The following is a 24,930-nucleotide window of genomic DNA, read 5'->3' on the forward strand; positions in this document are numbered from 1 at the left end:
AAAATGAGGAGGAATAGGGGCAAGAGGTACAGATGAGGAAAGGGAAGGTCCAGAACTGTGATGCCAGTAAAGTAGCCAGTAGCACCAAGTCACTACTGAGCACTTCAGTTGACACTTGTCTGAATTGAGATGTGCTGTAAGTATAAAATACACATCATATATGAAAGACTTAGAATAAAAAATGCAAAGTATCTTATTAATATTTTTAAAATACTTGATTACGTGTTAAAATGATGGTATTTTGAATATACTGGATTATATAAAATATATTAATTTCATCTTTTTCCATTTTTTTCAATGTGACTATTAAAAATTTTAAACAACATATGTGCCTTATATTTTTGGATCTTATTATATTTCTGTTGGACAAATTGGTCTAAATCAGAGAGGTAAGCAAACTATAGCTTGTGGGCCAAATCCAACCTGTTGTTTTTTTTTTAAATAATGTCTATTAGAACATAACCATTCTAATTCGTTTAAGTGTCTCCTGTGGCTGTAAAAGGGCAGAGTTGAGTATTTGTGTCAGAGACTGTATGGTTTGTAAAGCCTAAATTATTTACTATATGGCCTTTTACAGAAAGTTTGCCGACCTCTGGTATAAACAAGTGGAGGAAGAAAACAGCCAGAAAATCTCAAAAAGTAAGCCAACCGGCCAGGTGCGGTGGCTCACACCTGTAATCCCAGCACTTTGGGAGGCCGAGGCGGGCGGATCACCAGGTCAGGAGATCGAGACGATCCTGGCTAACATGATGAAACCCCGTCTCTACTAAAAATACAAAAAAATTAGCCGAGCGTGGTGGCGGGCGCCTGTAGTCCCAACTACTGGGGAGGCTGAGGCAGGAGAATGGCGTGAACCCGGGAGGTGGAGCTTGCAGTGAGTCGAGATCGAGCCACTGCACTTCAGCCTGGGCGACTGGGCAAGACTCTGTCTCAAAAAAAATAAAAAAATAAAAAGTAAGCCAACCTATTTCCAAATACTATACAAAAACAGTAAAAAAGAAAGCTCTTGGAAATTAGAAAAACTTCCCTAAACCCCACTTCACTTTAGAAGTTTGGCAAAATTAATTTCATGTAATTTGTAACATATAAAAATCTAGGTCAAATCCCATACAAAATTATTATATAAAGAAAGATAATAAAGAGCAGAAAAATAACCCGCATCAAAAAGACAAAGTCACAAAACAGAATCAACCTGAAACTAATATTTGAAAATGAACTAAAAGACAAAGAAAATGATCTAATAAATGCAAAGACATAAATCAGTATTAGAAATGTTCAGAAATGTATGAATGAACTCCAGAAATAATTGGAAGTAAAACAAAAAATCACTTTTAAAATAAAGATGGAACTAGGAAGAACACAGAATAATTAAATGCAACTGATAGTGTGTCTTAAAAACATAGAAGGTGAAAAATGAAAAAAATTAAATAGAAATAAAAGAAATAATCAAGGGACAGTAATAAATATTGAAGAGGTGAAAACGCACAAAAAATTTATAAGGTAACTCTTGTATAATCTGACAATCTCAAGTCTAAGCTGCGGGCTTATAAAACAAATTGGGAACAAATATTCTTGAGGTCATTTGACTAGTGAAGACCTGAGATTAAAATTCCCCACTCTCTTTCTGAATGCTCATACATATACAGGCTAATGTAATAGAAATGGGCCTTTTGAAAGAACTCAAGACTATTGGAGCACACGCAGCCTTTTAACACAAAAAGTACTGTGGAATCTAAAAATGTCAAACTCATAGAAACAGTGAGTAGAATGGTGGATACCAGAGGCTGGGAAGTAGGGGAATAGGGAGATGCTGTTTAAAGGGTACAAAGTTTCAGTTAGACAGGAAGAACATATTTTTGAGACGTATGGCACAGTGTGGTGCCTATAATTAACAGTAATGTATTGTATATTTAAATATTGCTAAGAGAGTATATTTCAAATGATAAATGGGGTGATTGATACGTTAATTAGCTTAATTTAATCATTCTACATTGTACACATATATCAAAACATAACATTGCACCCTATAAATATGTACGATTATAATTTATCAGTTAAATATATATACATATATATATTAGTAATAAGATACCAAAAATAGGCATGAAGGAAAGTCTTTGCAGTGCAAAGATTGGCTTGTCTTAGTAAGTTAAGGACAAACTATCATGAGTGCCTCATTTTTCCTCTTCTACTTTCAGAATACAAAGCACTCCACTTGTTATTTAGCAGGAGAGTATAGCAGAGCATAAAATTTTTCATGCCACAAACCAGGAAAGGAAGTGGAACTTAGGATAAGGGATAGTGAAAGTGTCTAACAGTTTCAAAGTGTTCTAAGGAAGGGGAAGAAGGAAGAGAAGAAAACAAGAGAAAAGTCCCAAAGGACACACTTAGGGAGAACGCAAGAGTTCAGAGAGAACTGTCCCATTCTCCATGGCTTGAGGCACAGGGCTAAATTTAATAAAGTAAATATTCTACGATGACCTTCCATACCTTTCTGGTATCTACTAATGAAGTCTTTATTAGAATAAAATCTAATGAAGAATGATGAAAACTTCTTTTGGGCTCTTTGGGTATGCTTGACCAACTAAGTGAGAATGCATTTTTTTTTTTTTTTGCAGGTAGTGTCGAAGAACACTAATAATATCCCCTGTAGTCATTCCTTATTCTTAGTAATAAAATACGTTTTAACATAAATTAAGTTTTAACAGGGCACATTGCTGTCCAGGATAAGATGATACTTCCCTGCCTCCTTTGCAGCAAGCAATGGCCATGTGACTAAGTTCTGCCCCATGAGATGTGAGCAAAGAAACGTGTGACTTCTTAGCTATGCCTTTAAAAGAAGCTTCTTGCCCCCCACTTTATATTTCATCCTTGCTACAGACTTGGGCACAGAGCAGGTAGGACTTAAGAAAGTGACAGGGAAGTAATATAAATGATCTGTGGAGTCATTCTACTTCACTCGGCCACCTGCCAGGTCAAAGTTTTCAGTGAGGGATTAATAATATTCTCTTTTGTAAAAGCCACTATTATTTTGGCCTCTATTGAAACTGCTGAACACATATTCTAGCTCATATACTGCTGATCTTTATATGATTAAGGCCTAGCACTTGGGCTATAAGAGATTATTGGATGGTAGCAGGAGCCAGTTACCCCCAATTCAAACTACACTGCAGCACTGAACCAAATGGCACCTCAGCATGGCAGCCACCTCTTAGCAGAAGAGTGGGGAAGAATGAAATTTGACTCAGCACCAGTAATAAGGGTGCATGAAATAAGCTGACATTGGGAAAAAGACATGATAGAGAAAGTTGTGATCCTTGAACTGTTTGGACCTGATTGGCATCTATGGTATAGAAACAGATGATTTAATTGAAGAGTAGGTGGTATGCTAAGTGAAGCTGAGATCAAAGGGCATTTTCAAACCCCATGATTAAAATAGAACTCCTCTGCCTCTGTCCAGCAGTATTCAAGAGGAGGTGGGCCCTCTGTCTTTGGGAGAGAGACATGTAGTTGGACTTGAAGGCATGGTAAGAATTTGTCTCATCTCATAAAATTGGGCTCACATGGGGTTAGAGGGTGCTGTTTTTGTGAGTAGCATCGGCTTAGACACTCATGTTGTCTTTACAATTGTAAGTCATGGAAAAGGAGCAGCACCTTATTATGAGAGGACCTGAAGGTTGTTATAGGGAGTAAGTATAGTAGACTAGCTTTTTCTTACAGTTCGCACCCCCGTCTCTTCCCTGGAGCCTGGTGCCTTCTCAAGCTAGAGTTTGGGAAGAAAGACTTTTGAACTATATCTCAAAGCAGAAAAAAATAGATATTTTCCTGCAATAATTCAGTATAGGAGATATACTAGTAGGAGATCCAATCAAAAATGTGAAAGATATGATTGTCAAATATTGCAAATTGATGCTATAGTGCTATAAAGACTGCAAAGACCTCTGTTTAACTCTTCATGTGTCATTCTCCAGTCCCTATCCAGTAGTGGAAACTGACAGAGCATATACTGACTGCCAGTCAGGCTTAGGTCCATACTCAAAGGATGGCAAAAGACAATGGCAGATGGAAAGAGGGGCAAGGAGAGAACAAGAAGAAGGACTGTGGTACTGGGTTGAAATTATTTGATGTATTTTCAGACTATCTTGATGGTTCTCTTTTGAATGCAATCTCATTTTTAATGTTTCTTAAAAATGTAACATTTGTAATTGAATACAAAACTTGAACTCTGAACAGTACAGAACACAGCACACTATCAATTCTTATAATCTTGACACTATACTTTTAATAGAATATTACAATGTTAGAGTCAGAAAATATTTTAGGGACAATAAAACATCCAATTCAACCCTTACTCTTGCAACCCTCGTTTTACAGGCTAATATATGGAGAGCCAGAGTCAAGCAACTTGCACAAAGGCTGGTATCTATGTAACAATAGAGTGGGAATAAGAATTCAAGTCCCCAAATTATGTAACAGTTGCCTTAATTAATGCTAAGATCATGTTTATTTCTTCCAAAATTGTAGGACTTATATATAGCTTAAGATTGACTAAAACACCTTTTTAAATTTCATTTAGCCAATGACCCATAAAGTCAATACCTAACAGTAGTTACTTGGCAAATGGTGGTACAATTGAAAGTGTACCCTCTCTAATGGAAAGACATAAATCAGTATTAGAAATGCTCAGAAATGTATGAATGAACTCCAAACATAATTAGACATAAAAGAAAAAAATTGCCCTTAAAATAAAGACTAAACTAGAAAGAACACAAAAATAATTAAATAAAACTGATAGTGTGCCTTAAAAGACATAGAAGGTGAAAAAGTTTAAAAACTTCAAAAATAGAAAATAGGAAAGATTCAAGAGACAGTACCACCATTTTCAATTGTACCACCATTTGCCAAGTAACTGCTGTTAGATATTGGCTTTATGTTTATTTAAATAAAAACTGTACTTTTAGAGTAAAAAACACACAATTATAACAAGTACTGACTCTGACTTCATAAAACTTTACAAATGCTTTTATACTGTAAAGTAACGCTTGCAATAGATATATGTATGTATGTATGTATGTATTTTGTATGTATTTTGTATTTATTTATTTATTTTTTTGAGATGGAGTCTTGCTCTGTCACCCAGGCTGGAGTGCAGTGGCGCGATCTCGTCTCACTGCAAGCTCCACCTCCCAGGTTCACGCCATTTTCCTGCCTCAGCCTCCTGAGTAGCTGGGACTACAGGCACCCACCACCACACCCGGCTAATTTTTTGTATTTTTAGTAGAGACGGGGTTTCACTGTATTAGCCAGGATGGTCTCGATCTCCTGACCTCATGATCCACCCGCCTCGGCCACCCAAAGTGCTGTGATTACAGGTGTGAGCCACTGTGCCCAGCCGATATATGTATTTATATTCATAAGTTAGTCAGGGACTGAACAGCATTGTATTTGCTGACATTCCTGTGACAGCAAAGGTGTCTCTATCACTATCTAGAACTTTAGAATAAACATCTAGGTCCAAATCTATCCTTACCTATTTATATGCATGTATAACATTTTAAACTCATGCTCTCCAGTTGATAGGGGACATTCACATATATCAAACCAATCCTCATTAAAACTTGTATCATTAGCCTCTTTTTCTATACAAAAAATTAATAATTACCTAGTTTATATAGCCAGTTAACTGTGAACTAAAACTAATTTATCTGACTCCAAATAAAATCTCATACACTTCTAAAAAAGCTAAAGGCTATTGTAAAAATCTATAAAATACAAAAACAATGGAAGAAAACAATAGAATGAAAAACCACATAACCCGTGTTCCTTTCTCAAGTCTCAAAATAGTGCTATAATGTGCCTCCCTTGTTTCTCTTCGTGTCTCTTTGCATCTTACAGAGATATTTGAAAGGTCTTATATACCTTTTCTCATCCAGTTATCTCTAATCTCTCCCACAAAGGTAACTACTATCTTAAATTTAGTGTTTATCATCAGCAGACATATTTTTATACCTTTACATTTGGTAATTTTAAAACATGAATCACATAAATATATGTTTTTAAAATGTATACACATGGTATCCTACCACTCTACTTTATATTATGATTCATCCAAGTAAGATTTTTCCAATTTACACAGCATAAATTTATTCATTTTACATGCTGCATAATATTCCTTTGAGCAAATTTATTTATTGTTCTATTAATGTAAATTTAGATGTTGGCAATTTTCACTATTATAAAATGGCTACAAATGAATACTCTTCTACCTGATCTGAAGCTGTTTCTTTACATTATATTTGTATATCCAGTTTTAAACTTTCTGAATCATAAGGCACAGGCTATTTCAGTTTCTCTAGAAATGGCCAAATTGCTGTCTCATTTGGCATTACCAACTAGCACTAGCACCCAATGATCATATTATGTTTTTTTCTTTTTGAGATGGAGTCTCACTCTGTTGCCCAGGCTGGAGTGCAGTGGCGCAATCTCGGCTCACTGCAGACTGCATCCTCTGCCTCCCAGGTTCAAACGATTCTTTTGCCTCAGTCTCCTGAGAAGCTGGGATTACAGGCATGCGCCACCACACCCAGCTAATTTTTGTATTTTTAGTAGAGATGGGGTTTCACCATGTTGGCGAGGCTGGTCTTGAACTCCTGACCTTAGGTGATCCGCCCGCCTTGGTGTCCTAAAGCGCTGGAGTTACAGGCATGAGCCACCATGCCCGGCCTCATATTATGTTCTTTATACCATCATTTAAACATAATTCAAAGAAGTACATGATTGTGTTTTAACACTCTAGGACACTATATGAACTTTTAAATATTCCTTACAAATCAGTTCGTTCTTCTTCTTTTGCAGAGCAGAAAGATATCGAGGGTAAATTAAGACAATTACAAGAACTTACAAAATATCAGGGTTTCACATCTATTGAAAAGCCACATAAATGTAGAATATTTTCTGGGTATATTGGAAGGGAAATGAAACCAAATCTTCTTCTTTGTTACAGTTATTTTTATTACTTCTTGTCATTTAGTAGTTTTGTGTATTTTTGCACAATGTAAGGTAATTCAAAAATAGAATATGAAATGAAAGTATATACTTTCCATACAAGTCTATGTAAAATTTCTATATATTAAAGCACTGAGAAATTATTAAAACATGTTTGCATTTAACCTGTACTTAATATTCAACTCTGTAACTGAAAGTTAAGTTAGTAAAAATTTTATTTTCACATATAAAGCATAATTGTAAATTTTTCCTCCCATGTTTCTCTCTTTTTATGATATGTTTTTCAAAATGAGTACTTGAGGAATAAAGATATAGACCACATAGGCATTTCTCTCTGCTTAGAAGAGACACATTTAGGAAATGAGAAAGAAATGAACCAAAATAAGGAGTTTTCACAAGTGCTCTGAATAAAGCATAGGATGCTTCAGCATGCATATGCTAGCAAATGCTATCACATTAACTCAATATTCTAGACGAGTTTTATCCTAAACAATTTCTCCTACCCTACCTTCCTAACTGTTCAAAGGCCTGTATGCATAATATTCTCTGTATTATCTATTCTATTCAGATATCATCCTTCAAGTATCTTGAAATGATTGTAATAGCAAATGGCTGACTTTTTAAAATGCTAAATCAGTGATAGCTTTGGTAGTGTGCCATCATTATGTTACAGACATTACAGACACTGATGTATAACTCAGATGTTTAGAACATAGAACTATTGCTTCTCATTATTGCCTTTCTTTCAATTTAATGTAATTGTATATTCAAAAAAGCACGTTATCTGTTATTTTTATCTATGCTGTATATTATTTTAGATGTCTTTGCCTTTATGTTTTGCCAAAAATAATTGTTCTTCACTAGTAACACAAATGAAGACATTGTGACTCTTACCACCTCAATATCATCCATGATGTCAACTACTGTTCTCTGTTCTTTTGTTTTATTATCAAACCAAAAGGGAAACACTAATCTGGCCTTCTCCATTTATAGCACAGGTGCTATTTCTCCCATTTCAGGTGTGCAAAAAGTATTATTACAATCTTGAATAATATTACATCAGGAAAGAGAGTTAAATTGTTTGAAAACATTGAAAAATGCAATGGCTTGTCATGGAGGAATGTAAATTAAAAATAAAAAAACTCCAAACTGGTAAATACAAATGCAATAGATATAAAAAGAGGTGCATAATATCTTTAGGTGGTATTTATAGAAATATAATCTCTTCTGAAATATTTTGAAGACTGGATGAAATTTTATCTTCATTTCTCTGAATTAATCATTTTAATATATATCAAAGTTTAAAAGTTTTCTTATTGTAAATTTTCTACACTTACTTTAATTCCATATTGTGTTAAACGATTTTAATTTCCAACATTAAACAACATTCAATAATTGCTTGAGTTAAAATTTTCACATTTTCACAATTAAGTAGAAAGTATGTGGAGAGCCTATCTCTTTCACTCATATGTCTTTCGTTATAAATATTTTTAACTTTTGGCATAGAATGTTAAATGAACAACTGACTTTGTAAGTAGCTAACTTCACAAGGCAGGCAAATTACTAAAAATGACAATTTAAAAATCATCTCATTTGAAAAACTGTTCCAATATTTATTTACTGTACGGTAGTTTACCAATTATTTGTAATTTTAGAAGTGTTAAATACGATTTTAGAGAACCCACAGTACTAGCCCTGGCTGTCACTGCCAGTGTATTTTAGGAAAATGATGTAATGTCTTTATTTTAAAAAGTATGCAACCAAGAGTTGCCGTGATGATGGTACCATCTGGTTGTGGCCGGTATAGGATACTATATGACCAAAACCCTCACTACTGTTGTCTTTCTACTCTCTCAGAGAAAAGAAAATCAGACAAATGATGTGCTCTCATTTATTCTTCACTTTAATCCTAAAGTAAGTAATTCCATTTCTGAAGTCCTTTTATCACATGGACATATATACCTCTATAACTACAGAGGTTTCTGACTTAATGATGTTTCGACTTATGATTTTTTAAGTTTACAGTGGTGCCAAAAAGACATGAATTCAATATGTTCCTCAACTTAACGATTAGGTTATATCCTGATAAACCTATCATAAACAGGAAATACCATTAAGTCTAAAATGCATTTTCAACTTACTATATTTTTGATTTATGATGGGCTTATAAGGGTATAACCTCATCGTAAGTTGAGGAGCATCTGTATCTTCTTTACTCCTTTTTTCCCTAGGCCTTGAATACTCACCTAAGAAAAGTCCCTTTTCCCTTTCTCTGTAGCCTTCCCTTCTGCTGGTGCTGCTGCTGCTGCTGCTGATGCTTTCTCTTCTTTTTCTCCTTGCCCAAACAAATCTAATCTAGTCTGATAATGCATATAAGCCTTCTGGTGTCAAGGAAATAGAAACCCAAAGTGTTTCACTATAATGAGACAAAATAGAGAACCATTGCCATTGACTCCTGTCACCTTGGCTATCCCCAGAAGTCTCTTTTGCATGCCTCAGGTATCTCTCTTGTCCTTGCTGTCATTCATTCTCCTTCCTCTCACTCAGTAAACATTTCTTAAGCCCTGTGCACTCACATTGAGTTACTCAGTGACAATATCATAATGACTAAGGTAAGATTCCTGACCAAAAAATAGAAAATCAATGCATTTAATAACTCATTTTCAATGTGACTAATTTTCAATCTTGCTGACAATAATACTACTTTGTTTCATTATTTTTTCAGAGCAAATAAAGTTTACTGAAGTTATATCATGGGTTAAATAGGTTGTGTGATAGCTGGCAATTGTTTGCATTATTTATATAGCATTGTTTTTACTGGGAAAATAGTCTGAATCTCAATCCACTGCATAAAAACATGGCTGGGAACACTTCCCACCTATAATGCAGCCTGCCTGTAATATCGTGAACTTTAAATTGCACCTTTTCTCAGAAGGATTCAAATATCTCCATGTGTAACATCACTGGGTCTTGTTTGTTTATACTCAGCCTTCTTTTCACAAATGATTTAAAACAGATTACAAATGTAACATAATAATAATGCAATATAAACAAGGTAAAGAAGTAGGGCTAGTGGGAAAAACTGTAAATGAAAGCAGAAGCCCAAGCCTGGAGCTGGCCGTGGGCCAGGCAAGCCAGTCCATATGTGTAGGTATGACTGCCTGTTGAGCTGTCATAGGTGACCATGAGGACACTGGGCATTATCACTAAAGGCTTCGTTTTTAAGTCTCTTACTGAGTTGATGCTTGAAAGTGAGTGAATATATAGGCTGTGGAAATTTGATGAGTAAGTGTAAAGGTTGGCATCCTTTGGGGAAAACTTAGAAGCCTTTTAAAAATATTTCCTTAAACATAGAAAAATCACACTTCTACCTATAAGTGAATTTCAGAGGGATATATTAAAAAATTCAGGAAATTTTCTCAATAAATCACTTAGGGTTCTCTCTGACACAATGTAATGGTTTCTTTGGTCCCTACATTTTACCACAGAAAGCTGACTAAAATGGTTGGAGGTTGGAAGATTTTAAAAACACATATTTACTTGTAGCTAATACAAATTAATAATAATACAACTTATAAAGATATTATGGAATGTCCAAATTGGGGTAATATATTGCCCTATTGAACGTGTCAGAAAAAAAATAATTTCTGAAGTGTCACTGACTAGCCCAAAAGGTAGACGGTTATGTAGGGTTACTGAAAATAAACTGCATTCATTTAAGTAGTATTTTTCAAAAATATGGTATAATTTTTTAATAGTTTGTCATTCTTTCCAACAAAGATAATGGGAACAGTTGTTTTTTATGTCTCTTTTAAGTGACAGTGCAGTCATATCATCAATAAATAAGATGATATTATTTTGTCTTATAATATTCTCATTTAGATATGAAACATTTTATTATTTTCATTTCACAAAAGCAAAATTGAGGTGGTAAAGGAAAAGAAGAGTTTAGTGAATGTTAAGCCAAGAATTGAAGGTGCAGTGCTAGGCATACACACTTCATATTTGCTGGCTAGTTGATTTTTTAATATCTATATTTGTAACAATTGAATCAAAATCGGCAATAGCTTTAAATAACTCTGCTTTTTTATATGGATGGTCACAAATCTCATAGTGACAGAAATGTAGAATATTGATCTCTTCTATTTCCATAACTATTCTAGTACAGCAGTCACTGAACCCTAAATAACTGTCAATCAGAGAGCCTTAATGAACTTTCAGTGTTAAATCAAAGACATTAAGTTTCTAAATTGAGTCCTTTATGTACATATTACTTCCCTTGGCCCTTTGTAAGTCACATTAGAATTTGCTTCATCCAAATTAATTACCTACTTAGAAAATGAATTTTGCTAGTGTACATAATGTTTCTTAGCTTTTAAAATATATTTCACATTGTGGTAAATAAGGACATTTAATCTAATCATATTTTAGAAATGTGCCCCCAAGGTTACCTTGAAAAACAGTTTTAATTAATTTTTAAATGTTTTACTTTTGCCCCAAATATAACAGGGCTTATTTTGAAATATGATGTCCATATAAAATATAATAAAGTCCTAATAAGTATATGTTAAAATGCCTGTCTTAATTCCTTCCTTGTTTCTTTTCCCCCAAGAAGCCTACAAAAGTAAAAATCAATTACACTCATGAAAAAAAAAACAGCCCCTATTGAAATTAACAGAACGCTACATAAACAACAACCAGAAGAGGTGAAATTAGAATATTTAATACTTTCACCTTTTAAATTTTATTGAAATAAATTCTATTTAGTATGTATTTCTGAATAATCAATGTAAATGTGTTCAAATGAAACAATCATTTGGGGTAAGAGAAAATATTAAAGATCAGTATTTTTCTAAACATAAGCAGCTTGTTTGTTTTTCAATTTCCATGTAAAAATAGTGCAAAAACAAATATTTCTACTGGAAGTGGTTTAAAGAATATTGATAATATTGTATTAGAGCTGGATATTTGTGTTAACATTTTTAAATATATAGAGATTAATTGAGAAAATTCATTTTGAGCATAACCAGTCAGTAAATATGTATTGACTATTATATTCTTAACACTAAACTAGTGGTTTTTGTTTTGAGGATGCTTTTAAAGAAACTAAAACCTAACTTCTATTAGCAACCCTCTAACAATGGATACTCAACTTTTAAAAATAGTTCTTAAGAAAACGCAATCCCTCCCAAAGTAAAGGAGAAACCAAGAAGAGTTCGAACACAAAGATTTAGGAGGTGTTCTGAACAGTTAATAAATATTATGATCTGACTGAGATGTGATTAAAACCAAGTGTAGGAAGTGTCTATATTCATTGAAGCGGTGGTTGTCACATTGCCATTTCTGCCACAAAAATGTTATTTCACCCTTGAAAACAACTCCCTTCATTAGTAAAGGTATAATTCAGCTACTTGGATATGGTTATGCAACTCTTTAATACTAAAAGCAGAATCACAGTTCCTGTTTTTCTTTTCCTTGAAAGGAGGTGAAAATCTGACAGCTCAAAATGAAGCAAAAACCCAAGATTAAAACAGACACCATTTTGTGCCCACTCAGTCTTCTTTCCAGGGTCATACATGTGTAAGTAGCTGTTTGTTTATAGTCGAGACCTTCTGTGGGTAAATCTGGCAGGATATCAAAGACATTTAGCATAGATATTTCATTTTCAATGCATGTGTCTATTTTTTTCCCTGTTGATGAACCAAATATAACACATGCAGATGATTTTTAGGAATTTATTTTAAATCATAAGTGTTTCTTTTTTCTTTTTCTGAATGTTCACAGTAGCTGGGAGACAAGTATTTGCTTACCACTCCCCTCCCAACACGGCATTGAATGGTTGGGTGGAACTGAACACAAGATTGCATAATGTGCTTCCTCTCTTTAATATCTCCATATTTAATCCACTAATTAATCATATATATATCAATCTGTCTATTAACCATCTATAATCTATTCATCTGTTAATCATCTATAATTTATCAATCTGTACTTCGTGGCATAGTATTTAAGAATATGGGCTTTGGACTCGGTTATATCTGAGTTTAAAGGCAGGGTCCATTTCTTATTAGCTAAGTGGCTTTAGGCAAATTAACCTCTCTAAGACTAATTGGCTTATTAATAAAAACATTCATTTAAGATATTATGAAGATTAAAAGATAATCCAAGCAAAGGGCCTAGCATATTACTTGACATATAGTAAATGTTCAATAAATGTTAAGGATTCTTTTTTATTAAAAACAATAATCATTTTTCAAACTAATAGGTCATAGACTTGAAGGAAAGATCATTTCAAATATTTTAGTGCAATATAGTAATATTTTATTAATTTATGAAAAAACTCGTGATTTCAGTTAATTATAGGTAATACTGAGAAAAAAATTTTTCTTGAGTCATTCAGCTTTCCATTTCTGATATTTTCATATCCTTGATACTGTTTTTCTCTTTTCCCAATCAGAATAACATATTTTTTCAGGTGTTCCTTTTTTTCAGTAGCAAAATACTTGCATTTATATCTTAAGTCAATGTTACCTCCCTGTGATAATTTTTGGTGTTTTTGTTTGTTTGGAAATGCTGTCTTGATCTAGTTTGAGGCCCTGGCTAACAGCCGGTCAGTTTCCCTTCATGAGTAGCTGATTAATTTCACATCCCAACCACACACTAGGGGCACTATCCACCTGCCCTAACTGTCCCAGGGCCAGATAATAGATAACTAGGGACTTCTCTTGTGTCTTGGAGTCCTGGAAATTACCCAAATTAGCCAATCCACAAGGAACCTGAGGGCCTAACTAACTCTTGCCACACCTAAGCTGCCCCATCCAGCTCCACCTTGCTGTTACTCTGTCTCTGGATACAACACCTTATGTGGCACTGCAGCCTTTTCTCCTTTGGCGCTAATGGTAACAAAGAGTTCTACATCTCACCTATCCAAGTGTTGTTGTGCTGTGTTCCACCACCAAAATTGTCTTTAAATCTTGTAAAACCCTCCCTAAAGCCTTTGTGCTCTCTTATTAGAGAATTGTATGTTAATGGAGTTTTATTTTAAATATGTAGTTTTCAGTTATTTTCAGAAATAATATATGGTGATGTTGAACTTACTGAATATACAAAAAATTTAGGAAAAAATTCCTCAACAAACTCATAAATAGCTAATATTTAAGTTTAGTTACTTTCTAATAGGTTTTATCTACATTTTATCTGTATCTATTTTATTCACATTCACATATATATACCCACATATATGGAGATATAGCCATATCTGTATATTCATATGTATATTTATTTATATCCAAATAGACATAGTTACATAATATCTTTTTTTATTTGTACAAAGAGAAATCTTTCTAAATAAATCAGAATCCATACCTCTTTCTCAGAATTCAGATCACAATATAATTAAATAATTATGTGTATACTTATTTCAGGTTTATAACCGCACTTCTACATTCTATTATGAGGGCAAGAGTTGTGGCTGCTATATAAATGCTTCCTAGCATAGTTCCTGACAACTAGGTGATTCATGAATATTTGCTGAAGAAATAAAAATAACTTTATGAACATCGTTACACATCCTGCTTAATTTTTCAATTCGCATAATTTTTTTCTGTATATCCTCTAATTTAATACTATTTCATAGTTATGGTATTTGTTAAAGGAATATAAAACATCAATACGCAGCAATAGATCAACTGTACCATACCTCCAAAATACAATGTAGCCAGTTGTCAACTCTACCTATGAAAGAAATTGGTCCAGCCTTGGACAGGCATGGTGGCTCATGCCTGTAATCCTAGCACTTTGGGAGGCTGAGGCGAGCGCATTGCCTGAGCTCAGGAGTTTGAGACCACCCTGGGCAACGTGGTGAAACCCCATCTCTCCTAAAACAAAAAATTAGCCAGGCGCGGTGGCAGATGCCTGGTAGTCCCAGCTACTCCAGAGGCTGAGGCACTAGAATTGCTTGAACCTGGGAGGCAGAGGTTGCAAGTAGACAAGATCGTGCCACTGCACACCAGCCTGGGTGACAGAGTGAGACACTGTCTCAGAAAAAAAAAATAAAAATGTTTAAAATTTTTAAAAAGAAAAGGGTCCAGTCCAATTCATTTCCCTCGATCTGATGGGTACAGTGGAATTTGAGATCATGTTCAATGAAGCTGTGATGCTACCTGCAGTAAAACATGTTTGTTATTATGGCAGAGGCAGCCTTCTGGAGTGTCCACTGTGAAGATGCTGGCTGCAGCACAGGAGGTGTAGACAGGGTTGTCCACTCAGTGGAGCAGGTAGGGGCCGGGAACAGGCAGGAGCCCTGCCCCCTACCGGGTTAAAGGGGCAACAGCCCCATGCTCCCGGATGCAGCGGCAGCCTCCCAGCTGCAGCTCTGGACCAGGGAATACCTGTGCTCTCAGGGGCCCAGGAAGTCCCACTGCTCGCACAGGCTTGGAAGTGCCTGCTCCGTCTCCCTGGCTTCTCTCCACTTCCAGCACTGGCTCCAATTTCGGAGCAAAGTTGAAGCTGAGCCTGGGTGCTCTCATGACCCATTGGGTATGTGTAGATTATGGCACTGACAGGTCACCTCCTCCTGCAACCTCTGCCCACTCTGAAACTTTGGGCACTGAGGAGCTCAGGGAGAGAGGGTGAAGGGGGTTGGAGGTGGCTCAGCACAGGCCTGCAGATGCCCCTTGGGCACAAACAGACTGAGTACTGTGAACAGCATGTTTGTGGCAGGAGGCAGACAGGTTCCTGGGCAGAAAGGGTTGGGTCTGCAGTGAAACTCCACCTTCAAGCCAGGAACAGCCTGAAGCCTGGGGGCTGGGCTGCCGGTTCTGGGTGCAGTCCATAGCGTGGAGTGAGAACTTATGGTGCATTTTCCAGGCCTGCCCATGGCTGCCCATAGACCAATCAGCAGACAGTTCCTCCCTCCTGAGCCCGTAAAAATCCCGGGACTCAGCCAGACTGACACAGAGGTAGGGATTATCAGCTGCAGGAAGGAGCTGCCCACTGCAGGTCTCCTCTCTACTGAGAGCTGGACACTAGCTGGGACAACCTGCCCGCAGAAAGGATCTAACCACTTCTGGTCTCCTAGAAGCTGTTCTGTCGCTCAATGAAGCTAGTCTCCACTTTGCTTACCCTCCAGGTTGTCTGCATACCTCATTCTTCCTGGATACGGGACAAGAACTCAGTACCCACTAAATGGCAAGACTAAAACAGCTGTAACACAAACAGTACTGAAACACACCCACCCGTTTGCCATTTTGTGGGTGACGAAAAGGAGAGAAGTCCTGCAGCCTATGTCTGGGAACCCAGACCTCAGGGCTCTTTAAGCCAGGACTGTGACATGCTGTAACAACCTCTTTGAGGCTCTGCAGTTTCTGGGATCTCCAAGATTTCGGGCGCCACTGCATTCCCCTTGTCCAGATGTTGGTGCCCACAGCAGAAGTCACCTGCAGTACATCTGGTACAGCTGCAGCCTTGCATGGAGTTGGCACCTGTGCCAGCACCTGGAGCTGCCTGTCCATCACAGCTGGCATGCCTGGCTGTGCACAGTGGCCAGGCCCCACGCTTACCTGCTCACACACCCCTCACTGCTTCATGCCTAGCTCACACTTGGCAGGTGTGGGATCCAGGCTGGTAGCAGGAGCTGAGTGCATCATGCTAGGCTGATTGGACAGAACAAGCCCAGTAGGCCTGAGCAAAACTTGGGCAAAGACGCCACCGGCCATAGAGGTTTCTGGCTGGAAACCAGTGACACCCAAAGGATCCTGCGACAGTATCACACCAAATAAAGGGAAGTGCTGACAATTATTTACTCATTTAAACTAAATAATTCAGATACAGAACATCTTGTCATGTTTGTCTAGAGAAAATGGTTCCATAGGTAAAATTAAGAGGCTAATTTCCAAAGTTGAATATTGGCACAGGAAAAAAAACCAAGTATGTATATAGAGAGAATAGCTCAGAAAGAAAAAAATGTAACTCTATGCAATTGAGAGAGACGATGTAACTTGAAAGGATTAACAATGCACAACGTCATTGATCAGCTGAAAAGCAGGTACTATCTAATGCACACAGCCAGGCATGTTCTGTTAACTTCAAAGTGTTCTCAGCCTAGTTGGAAATAAAGATTGTATATTATTATTATTATATATATATAATATATACATAATAAACACAATTTTTTACCCCAAGTGGAATGGAAGTAACATTTTGTGCAGAAGAATTGTGTTATTTGAGTTGTCTTTTGTTCATGGAAAGAAGGATGGAAATGGATTCTTCATAGAGGTAATAACAGGAATGAAAACTGAGAAGTGTAAACAGGTACACTGGAGGGTGCATATCTGTAGTGTATAATGTGAAACAAAGCAGGATAGGTATGTTGAGACACTACATGGGTGAAAAATAGGACTTATCTTTCTCTATTTTATCCTCTTTGTAGACTAGTGGTTCTCAACTAGAGGCAATTTTGTCCCTGTGGGACACTGCAATGTATGAAAGCAAGTATGTCAGGAATGGGGTGCCCTGGCATAGAAGTGAGTATCCAGGGATTCTGCTAAACATCCTGTGATAAACAGGACAGCACCCTCCCCACTCCCAAAATAATTTTCCAACCCAAAATTTCAACAGTCCAAGAATAAGAACCCTTGGAGTAGACCAATCGTCTCCAAAATGAGGTATTTGAACCTGACAGGTGATGAAAGAATACCTGAAGGTTCAGAAATAAAGCAGTACAATTTTATAGTTCATCTCCTTTTAAAAACTCTTTCTGAAGGTAGATTTTGTAGCATACAAAATATACATTTGTAATGCATGTGTGATGGTTAATACGAGTGTCAACTTGATTGGATTGAAAGATACGAAATATTGATCCTGGATGGTCGAAAGGAGATTAACATTTGAGTCAGTGGTCTGGGAAAGGCAGACCCACCCTTAATTTGGGTGAGCACCATCTAATCAGCTGCCAGCACAACTAGAATATAAGCAGGCACAAAAATGTGAAAAGAGAGACTGGCCTAGCCTCCCAGCCTACATCTTTCTCCCATGCTGGATGCTTCCTGCCCTTGAACATCGGACTCCAGATTTTTCGGTTTTGGGACTCAGACTGGTTCTCCTTGCTCCTCGGCCTGCAGATGGCCTATTGTGGGACCTTGTGATCATGTGAGTTAATACTTAACATAAACTCCATATATATATATATTCCATATATATATATATATTTTTTTTTCCATTAGTTCTGTCCCTCTAGAAAACCCCAATACACATTTTATTGCCAGGAGTGGTTCTGGAGAAACAAAATAATAAGGATGGACTTCATTCTTTGGTTTTGGGATTTCTAGAGTTGGCTACTTAATATGATTAGACCCAAAGATGCTAAGGAATCTACTTCTAATAGTATGGAGAACACTGATAGTCTTGGCATAAACTGTTTAGAGAGTTACGCAAAATAAATGTATTTGACACTCTTGATTCATTGCTTGTTAGCGGCAAGGAGTTTGGTGAGTCTATGCATAATACCTTTGACCATATGTGGAAAAAGAAGGAACATGAGGAAGCTGGTTGGTTGCTCCTAAGTTCAGTGGACAAAGTGATGAAAGAAAATGATGAACTCAGGGGTTCTACCCACTTGCTTCAGAAGCAGATACTGAGCCTCAACATAGAGCTGCATCAGGGTTTATTTATTGATTTGGGCCAGCTAAGTAGAAACTGTGCATTTAATGTTGCAGATCGGGGAGTTCAAAAAGGTTCTAATAGTTTATTTGCTTGGTTATCTGAAATATGGATTAAAAGATGGCCAACTGTGAGTGAGCTGGAAATGTCTGATCTTCCTTAGTTTAATATAGAGGAAGGGATCCAAAGGCTTAGGGAGATTGGGATGGTGGAGTGGATTAGTTACTTTGACCTACTAATCCTAGCTGGGAGGGTCCAGAAGATATATCCTTGACCAATGCCTTGTGAAATAGATTTCTGAGGGCAGCTCCTGCATCTTTGAAAAGCCCTGTAATTGCTCTTCTTGTATGTCAGATCTAACAGTGGGAACAATAGTCACTCAATTACAAAATTTAAATACAATGGGAGTAATTGGATCCCGAGGTGTCAGGGGCCAAGTGGTGGCACTCAACCATCAAAGGCAAGGTGGGTGTAGCTACCTTAATGGACAGCAGAGGCAAAGCAGCAATCAGAATAGTCTGACACATGTAGAGCTCTGGCATTGGCTAATTAATCATAGTGTTCCTAGAAGTGAAATTGATAGGAAGCCTACTGCATTCCTACTTAATTTATACAAGCAGAAAACTACTAGGTCAAATGGACAAAAGATTAATTTGAATTATGAAAACAGAGAATCACTGCCCCTCAATTTCCAGACTTGAGCCAGTTTACAGAAACAGAACCTCTTGAATGAAGGGAAGGCCGGGTCCCCTTGAGGAAGGACCCCGCTACATTACCAACAATTTATGCAGTGAATCTTTCTCCCATCCTTCCCCAAGAAGACCTCCAGTCTTCTACCAGAGTAAGTGTGCATTGGGGAAAGGAAAATGATCAGACATTTTGGGGACTACTAGATACTGGCTCTGAGCTGACATTGATTCCGGGTGACCCAAAATGTCATTGAGGTCCTCCAGTTAAAGTAGGGGCTTATGGAGGTCAGGTAATTAATGGATTTTTAGCTCATGTCTGACTTACAGTGGGTCCCCAGACTCATCCTGTGGTCATTTCCCCAGTGCCAGATGCATAATTGGCACAGAAATACTTACCAGTTGGCAGAACCCCCACATTGGATCCCTGACTCGTAGGGTGAGGGCTGTTATTGTGGAAAAGGCCAAATGGAAGCCATTAGAGCTACCTCTATCTAGAAAAATAGTAAATCAAAGACAATATCACATCCCTGGAGGGATTGCAGAGATTACTGCCACCATCAAGGACTTAAAAGATGCAGGGATGGTGATTCCCATCACATCCCTGTTCAACTCTCCCATTTGACCTGTGCAAAAGACAGATGTATCTTGAAGACAGTGGATTATCATAAGCTTAACCAAGTGGTGACTCCAACTGCAGCTGCTGTACCAGATGTGGTTTCATTACTTGAGCAAATTAATACCTATCCTGGTACCTGGTATGCAGTCATTGACTTGGAAAATGCCTTTTTCTCCGTGCCTGTCCATAACGCCCACCAGAAGGGATTTGCCTTCAGCTGGCAAGGCCAGCAATATACCTTTACTGTCCTACCTCAGGGGTATATCAACTCTCCAACTCTTTGTCATAATCTTATTCGGAGAGACCCTGGTCACTTTTCATATCCACAAGATATCACATTGGTCCATTACATTGATGACATTATGCTAATTGGATCCAGTGAGAAAGAAGTAGCAAACACATTGGACTTATTGGTAAGACATTTGCAGGCCAGAGGATGGGAATAAATCCGATTAAAATTTAGAGACCTTCTACCTCAGTAAAATTTCTAGGGGTGCAGTGGTGTGGGGCCTGTCGAGGTATTCCTTCTAAGGTGAAAGATAAATTGCTGCATTTGGCCCCTCCTACAACCAAGAAAGAGGCACAACACCTAGGGGGCTTACTTGGATTTTGGAGGCAACACATTCTTCATTGGGGTGTGTTACTCCAGCCCATTTATCAAGTGACCCTAAAGGCTGCCAATTATGAGTGGGGTCCAGAACAGGAGAAGGCTGTGCAACAGGTCCAGGCTGCTGTGCAAGCTGCTCTGCCACTTGGACAACATAACCCAGCAGATCCAACGGTGCTTGAGGTGTCGGTGGCAGATAGGGATGCTATTTGGAACCTTTGGCAGGCTCCCATAGGTGAATCACAGCGGAGGCTTCTAGGGTTTTGGAGCAAGGCCCTGTCATCTTCTGCAGATAACTACTCTCCTTTTGAGAGACAGCTCTTGGCTTGTAACTGGGCTTTGGTGGAAACTGAACGTTTGACTATGGGTCATCAAGCATCAAGTCACCATGTCTGCCTATCATGAACTGGGTGCTTTCTGTCCCATCTAGCCATAAAGTGGGTTGTGCACAGCAGCATTCCATCATCAAATAGAAGTGGTATGTATGTGATCGGGCTCGAGCAGGTCCTAAAGACACAAGTAAATTACATGAGGAAGTGGCTCAAACGCCCAGTGTCTCCACTCCTACCACCCTGACTTCTCTCTTCTAGCCTGCACCGATGGCTTCATAGGGAGTTCCCTATGAGCAGTTGACAGAGGAAGGGAACACTAGGGCCTAGTTTACAGGTGGTTCTGCACGATGTGCAGGCACCACCCAAAAGTGGACAGCTGCAGCACTACAGCCCCTTTCTACGACATCCCTGAAGGACAGCAGTGAAGGGAAATCTTCCCAGTGGGCAGAACTTTGAGCAGTGCACCTGGTTGTGCACTTTGCATGGAAGGAGAAATGGCCAGATGTGAGATTATGTACTGATTCATGTGCTAGCCAATGGTTTGGCTGGATGGTCAGGGACTTGGAAGAAGCATGACTGGAAAACTGGTGACAAAGAAATTTGGGAAGACATATGTGGATGGACCTCTCTGAGTGGTCAAAAACTGTGAAAATATTTGTATCCCATGTGAGTGCTCATCAGTGGGTGACCTCAGCAGAGGAGGATTTTAATAATCAGATGAGCCGTCCTGTGGACACCATTCAGCCTCTTTCCCCAGCCATCCCTGTCATCGCACAATAGGCCCATGAACAAAGTGACGATGGTGGCAGGGATGGAGGTTATGCATGGGCTCAGCAACATGAACTGTGACTCACCAGGGCTGACTTGGCTACCGCCACTACTGAGTGCCCGATTTGTCAGCAGCAGAGACCAACACTGAGCCCTCATTATAGCACCATTCTTCAGGGTGATCAGCCAGCTACCTGGTAGCAGGTTGATTCTATTTGACCTCATCCATCATGGAAAGGGCAGAGGTTTGTCCTCATAAAATAGACATTTACTCCAGATATGGGGTTGCCTATCCTGCACACAATGCTTCTGCCAAGACTACCATCCGTGGACTCACAGAATGCCTTCTCCACCATCATGTACTCCATCCAGCATTTCTCCTGACCAAGGTACTCACTTTATGGCTAAAGAAGTGTGGCAGTGGGCTCATGCTGATGGAATTCACTGGTCTTACCATGTTCTCCATCATCCTGAAGCAGCTGGATAGATAGAACGGTGGAATGGCCTTTTGAAGTCACGATTACAACACCAACTAGGTGACAATATTTTGCAGGGCTGGAGCAAAGTTCTCCAGAGAGCTGTGTATACTCTGAATCACAGTCCAATATATGGTACTGTTTCTCCCATAGCCAGGATTCATGGGTCCAGGAATCAAGGGGTAGAAGTGGAAGTGGCACCACTCACCATCACCCCTAGTGATCCACTAGCAAAATTTTTGCCTCCTGTTCCTGCAACATTCTGTTCTGCTGGCCTAGAGGTCTTAGTTCCAGAAGGAGGAATGCTGCCACCAGGAGAGATAGAAACAATTCCATTAAAGTGAAAGTTAAGATTGCCACCTGGACACTTGGGCTCCTCCTACCTTTAAGTCAACAGGCTAAGAAGGGAGATACAGTGTTGACTGGGGTAACTGACCTAGACTATGAAGATGAAATCAATCTACTATTCCACAACAGAGGTAAGGAAGAGTATGCATGGAATACAAGAGATCTATTAGAGTGTCTCTTAGTATTACCATGCCCTGTGATTAAGGTCAATGGGAAACTACAACAGTCCAATCCAGGCAGGAGTATAAAAGACCCAGCCCCTTCAGGAATGAAGGTTTGGGTCACTCCACCAGGAAAGAAACCACAACCTGCTGAGGTGCTTGCTGAAGACAAAGGAAATACAGACTGGGTAGTAGAAGAAGGTAGTCATCGATAACAGCTATGACCAGGTGACCAGCTGCAGAAACGAGGAATGTAACTACCATGAGTATTTCCTCCTTTTGTTGAAAACATGTTTGTGCATGTATACACTTGTACCAAGAAAATATCTTCATTTTATTTCCTTTCTCTTTTATCATGTGACATGAGATTTATTGACCTCACATCAGCATTTAAGTATTGTTCACTTTATGTAATAGTATTTGGGTTGGGGATTGGTGTGATTCCGATTGTATGAAGCAGAGTTATATTACGTTAGGTGTAATTATGACCTTATTGTCTTTATTTGAAGACTATGTATGATCTCAGGAGATGTATATGGGTTCAAGTTGACAAGGGGTCGACTTGTGATGGTTAATACTGAGTGTCAATTTGATTGGATTGAAGGATACAAAGTATTGATCCTGGGTGTCTGTGAGGTTGTTGCCAAAGGAGATTAACATTCGAGTCAGTAGTCTGGGAAAGGCAGACCCACCCTTAATTTGGGTGGGCACCATCTAATCAGCTGCCACCACAGCTAGAATATAAATAGGCAGAAAAATGTGAAAAAAGAGACTGGCCTAGCCTCCCATCCTACATCTTTCTCCTATGCTGGGTGCTTCCTGCCCTCGAACATCAGACTCCAGGTTCTTCAGTTTTGGAGCTCAGACTGGCTCTCCTTGCTCCTCAGCCTGCAGACGGCCTATTGTGGGACCTTGTGGTTGTGTGAGATAATACTTAATAAACTCCCCTGTGTGTGTGTGTGTATGTATGTCTATATATACACATATACACAATATATATATATATATATATATATGATTAGTTCTTTCCCTCTAGAGAATCCTGACTAATACAGCATGTATGTGTAAACAAAAAATAAAATTCTAAGACCCCCAACCAACGGCATGGATGCTTCCTCTTGGCCAAGGGCACTTCAAAATAAACCTAAAAATATAGTCCACGCCGTGATGGGGAGTCAGTATTGGACATGCCCCATTATATACGCCTCCCTTTGGAATTCAGGCACAGCTGACCAGCATTCACATTAAAACAGAACTCTTAAGACTGTTGAAACTGTTGAAACAGATTTGTTTTTGTAGCAATAAAACACCAAATTCCAGCTTGACTCCAGTGTAGCATCACATGACAGACAGTGAACCCTTAACAAATTTGAATTATTTTACCTAAAAATATACTTACTTGGCATATTTTGAAATGACCCTGCAAAGCTTTCTCTTGTGAGAAAAACCTGGATTATACAGAGAATACCCATTCCTTTCCAGGTCTTTTCTCTGATCCAGGAGAGAATTAACCAAAGTCTGGCATCATGTTAGGCCTGAAAGAGCTCTGAAGCCTGCTACCTGGAGGCTTCAAGTGCGTGATAAAACCTTTAACACAGATATTCTATTCTAATGATTACAGGTCTTAGATAATAACCCTTTTAACCAATTGCGAATCAGAAAACCTATGACTTACGACCTGGAAGGCCCCTCTTCCACTCCCCTCCCCACCTTCGACTTGTCTCGCCTTTCCAGACATAACCAATGTACATTTTATGTGTATGGATTGATGTCTTATGTCTCACTAATATATATATAATATATAAAATATACATAATATATAAAAATATATATTATATGTTATATATATGTATGTATGTATATATATACATAAAACCAAGCTGTAGCCTGACCACCGTGGCACATGTTCTCAGGATCTCCTGGGGTTGTATAATGGGCCATTGGTCACTCGTATTTGGCTCAGAATAAATCTCTTCAATAAATAAATAAATACAGAGATTGACTATTTTCATCAACATATGCAACTTATAAATATCTCCATATGTGTTTACATTGCCTATTCTACTTTTTAAAAATAATGAGATACACAGTCAAAATTGTAGACCCTCGTTTTAGAAAATTAAAATTTGTAAAAAAATTAACTGAATAGGTTATAAAAAAACAAGTGGTGGTAATGTGGGTGTCCGATGAAAACAAAGGAGATGCTGGAAGCATGCACTTGCTGCAATATTTCAGGCAAGAAATCAAAAGAACATGCTTTGGGAGATCAA

At 38.1% G+C, this 24,930-nt stretch overlaps 1 long non-coding RNA gene across 5 annotated transcripts in view, besides 1 other annotated feature; it reads left to right on the forward strand.

Annotated features, from left to right (window-relative positions):
* The window catches only part of LOC107984685 (uncharacterized), a 216,619-nt gene that overhangs the window by 181,728 nt on the left and 9,961 nt on the right, over window positions 1-24,930 (forward strand). For 4 of the 5 annotated variants that reach the window (XR_007064101.1, XR_001750694.2, XR_001750699.2 and 1 more), the window contains 2 exons: window positions 12,488-12,585; window positions 14,430-14,566. This is a non-coding gene — a long non-coding RNA (uncharacterized LOC107984685). Of the gene's footprint in view, window positions 1-12,487; window positions 12,586-14,429; window positions 14,567-24,930 lie in introns of those variants that run through there. The other variant, XR_001750697.1, reaches the window with a different exon arrangement.
* Window positions 15,207-15,501: a silencer, noted in NCBI's record as "tiled region #1682; HepG2 Repressive DNase unmatched - State 12:CtcfO". NCBI's record gives its function as "represses a minimal TATA promoter and a strong SV40 promoter by Sharpr-MPRA in HepG2 cells {active_cell/tissue: HepG2}" and the evidence as "EXISTENCE:reporter gene assay evidence [ECO:0000049][PMID:27701403]".

This window comes from Homo sapiens, chromosome 14, assembly GCF_000001405.40.
Source record: "Homo sapiens chromosome 14, GRCh38.p14 Primary Assembly".
NCBI classification, from domain to species: Eukaryota; Metazoa; Chordata; class Mammalia; order Primates; family Hominidae; genus Homo; species Homo sapiens.